This window comes from Homo sapiens, chromosome 6 (genome assembly GCF_000001405.40).
Source record: "Homo sapiens chromosome 6, GRCh38.p14 Primary Assembly".
In the NCBI taxonomy this organism is placed as follows: domain Eukaryota; kingdom Metazoa; phylum Chordata; class Mammalia; order Primates; family Hominidae; genus Homo; species Homo sapiens.
In genome coordinates, this window is record NC_000006.12 from 76,378,187 (window position 1) to 76,381,708 (window position 3,522).

Here is a 3,522-nt window from a genome sequence, read left to right on the forward strand (position 1 = left end):
TTCTCATTTCAGTAAGGTGATCTTCAAACACTGATATCCTTTATTTCACTTGGTCGATTCAGCTGTTGATACTTGTGTATGCTTCATGAAGTTCTTGTACTATGTTTTTCAGCTCCATCAGGTCATTGATGTTCCTCTCTAAACTGGTTATTCTAGTTAGCAATTCCTCGAACCTTTTATCGAAGTTCTTAGCTTCTCTGCATTGGGTTAGAACATTCTACTTTAGCTCATCGTAGTTTTTTATTACTCATCTTCTGAAGCCTACTTCTGTCAATTCATCTATCTGATCCTCTGTGCAGTTCTGCGCCCTTGATGCAGGGATGCTGCAATCATTTGGAGGAGAGGAGGCACTCCAGGCTTCTGGGTTTTCAGCACTTTTTTCGTGGATTCTTCCTCATCTTCATGAGTTTGTCTAGTTTTGGTCTTTGAGGCTGCTTACCCTTGATGGGGTTTTTGTGAGGGACTTTTGTTGTTGTTGTTGTTGATGCATTGTTACCACTTTCCACTTGCTTGTTTTTGTTTCAATAGTCAGGTCCCTCTTCTGCAGGGCTGCTGCAGTTTGCTGGGGGTTCACTTCAGGTCCTGTTCATCTGATTTGCTTCTGTGCCTGGAGACATCATTCAAGAGGCTGGAGAGCAGTAAAAATGGGTGCCAGCACCTTTTCTGTGACTTCTGACCTTGATGGGCACCAGCCTGATGCCAGTAGGATTGCTCCTGTATAGGGTATCTGACAACCCTTGTTGGAGTGTCTCACCCAGTTGGGTGGCACAGGGAGCAGGACCTGTTTAACGAAGCACTTTGTCCCTTGATGGAGAGGGCATGTTTCGCTGGGGGAAAACCCACTCATCTGGGCTGCCCGGATTCCTCAGAACTACCAGGAGGAGAGGCTAAGTCTGCTGGTCTGCAGAGACTGTGGCCACCCCTTCCCCTAGGGGCACTGGCCAAGGGAAATCTGAATTCTGTCCCTGAACCTCTGGCTGGAATTATTGGAGATCCTGTGAGGAAGCCCCACTCACTGAGAAAGGATGAATCAGGGTTAGACCTGAGGAGGCACTCTGGTGGCAGACTGCCACAGCTGGTGTCATGGGCTGTAGGAACAAATCTTGGGACCAAGCCATCCAGCCTCCCTGGCTCCAGCAGGGGAAAAGTGCAACCTGAAGCTGCAGAAATGGGTGCTGCCCTTTCCTGCCCAGGGAGCTTAGAATGTTAGGCAGTTGAGAGTCCCAGTGCTGGCTGCTGCCCCTCCCCCAAGCAGCTCGAAGGGCTTAGACAGCAGGCAGTGGTGGCTGGCTCTGGTCACCCCTCCTCCAGCAGTTTGGTGGGCTTAGGCAGATTCCAGCTGAGAGGCTGCAAGAATCTGTGCGTTCCACGTTTGGGATACTAGGTCCTGGTGATGTGGGTTCACAAGTGGGATCTTCCAGTCCATGGGTTGTACAGTTCCATGTAAAAAGCACAGTTTCCCCACTGGGTAGTGTGCTCACTCACTGCCTCCCTTGGCTGGGGCTAGGGAGCTCCCCTTCCCCTTGTGGCTTTCAGGTGGGCTGCCACACCACACTGTTCTTCCTTCTCTCCATGGGTCACACCAGCCTTCTGGTCAATTTTGATGAGAGAACCTGGATACCTTGTTTGGCGTCTGGAATATCTGTCCAATGCTGAAAGTAGGCTGTTGAAATCTTCAGCTATTGTGTTGGGGCCCATCTTTCTAGTTAGCTTTAATAATATTTACTTTATATAGCTGTGTGCTCCAGTTTGGGTGCATACATATTAAAATTATGTCCTCTAGCTGAATTGATACCTTTATCATTATATAGTGGCATTCTTTCTCTTTTCTTAGAGTTTCTGTCTTGATGTCTATTTTACCTGATATACGCTTAGCAATTCCTGCTCTTTTTTGATTTTTATTCACATGGAACATCTTTTTTTATCCCTTTATTTTCAGTCTTTGTGTATCTTTATAGGTGAAGTGTGTTTTTTCTGGGCAACAGATAAATGGTTCTTATTTTTTCATTTATTCAGCCAGTCTATGTCTTTTGATTGGATAGTTTAGTCTATTTACATTTAATGTTATTATTGATAAGTAAGGACTTACTCCTGCCATTTTATTATTGTTTTCTGGTTTTCTCTTCCTTGTTTGGTTCTTTCTTGTCTTCTTCTAGTGAAGGTGATTTTCTCTGGTGATATGATATAGTTTCTTGCTTTTTATTTTTTGTGTGTCCATTGTGTGTTTTTTGGTTTGAGGTTACCATGAAGCTTGCAAATGCTATACAACCCATTATTTTAACCTGATAACAACTTAACAACTATTTGTATAAACAAACAAGCAAAAAGAAAACTAATAAAAACTATGTCTTTACTTGGTCAGCCTGCTTTTAAATGTTTTTTTGTTTCTACTTATATCTTATTGTACTATGTCTTGAAAGATTGTTGTAGTTATTATTTTTGTTTGGTTCATTGTTTAGTCTTTCTACTTAGGATAAGAGTAGTTTACACACCACAGTTACATTGTTATAATATTCTGTGTTTTTCTGTGTATTTACCACTCTTTAATGTCCTTTTCTTTCTGATTGAAATACTCCCTTTAATTGTCCTGCATTTTTTGTAGGACAATTCTTGTATTGATGAAATCCCTCAGCTCTTGTTTGTCAGGGAAAGTATTTCTCCTTCATGTTTGTTGGATATTTTCACTGGATACACTATTCTAGATTAAAGTTTTTTTTTTTCCTTCAGCACTTTAAAAATGTCCTGCCACTCTCTCATGGCCTGTAAGGTTTCCACTGAAAAGTCTGCCACCAAATGTATCAGAGTTCCAATATCTGTTATTTATTTCTTTTCTCTTGCTACTTTTAGGATCCTTTCTTTATGCTTGATCTTTGGGTGTTTGATATTAAATGCCTTGAGATAGTCTTCCTTGGTGTTCTATAACCTTCTTGTACTTGGATATTAATATCTTTCTCTAGGTTTGGGAAGTTCTCTTTTATTATCCCTTTGAATAAACTTTAGACCTTCTCTTTCTCTACCTCTTGTTTAAGGCCAATAACTCTTAGATTTGCCCTTTTGAGTCTATTTCCTAGATTCTGTAGGCATGCTTCCTTGTTTTTTATTCCTTTTCTTTTGTCTCCTCTGTCTGTGTATGTTCAAATAGCCCATCTTCAGGCTCACTAATTCTTTCTTCTGCTTGATGCATTCTGCTATTAAAGGACTCTGATGCTTTCTTCATTATGCTAATTGCATTTTTCAGCTCCAGAATTTCTGCCTGATTCTTTCTAATTATTTTAGTATCTTTGTTAAATTTATGTGATATAATTCTGAATTCTTTCTCTGTGTTACGTTTAATTTCTTTGAGTATCCTCAACACAACTATTTTGAATTTTCTGTCTGAAAGGTCACATATCTGTTTTTTCAGGATTGGTCCCTGAACTAAGTTTACTTAGTTCTTTTGGTGAAGTTATGTTTTCTTGGATGGTGTTGATCCTTGTAGATATTCTTCAGTGTCTAGACATTGAAGAGTTACGTATTTACTGT

The 3,522-nt window shown here is 40.7% G+C and overlaps 1 annotated feature.

The window, feature by feature from the left end:
• Nucleotides 766-1,267: an enhancer, noted in NCBI's record as "H3K4me1 hESC enhancer chr6:77088669-77089170 (GRCh37/hg19 assembly coordinates)". NCBI's record gives its function as "activates a minimal SCP1, AML or CMV promoter by ChIP-STARR-seq in primed H9 embryonic stem cells {active_cell/tissue: H9 hESC(primed)}" and the evidence as "EXISTENCE:reporter gene assay evidence [ECO:0000049][PMID:30033119]".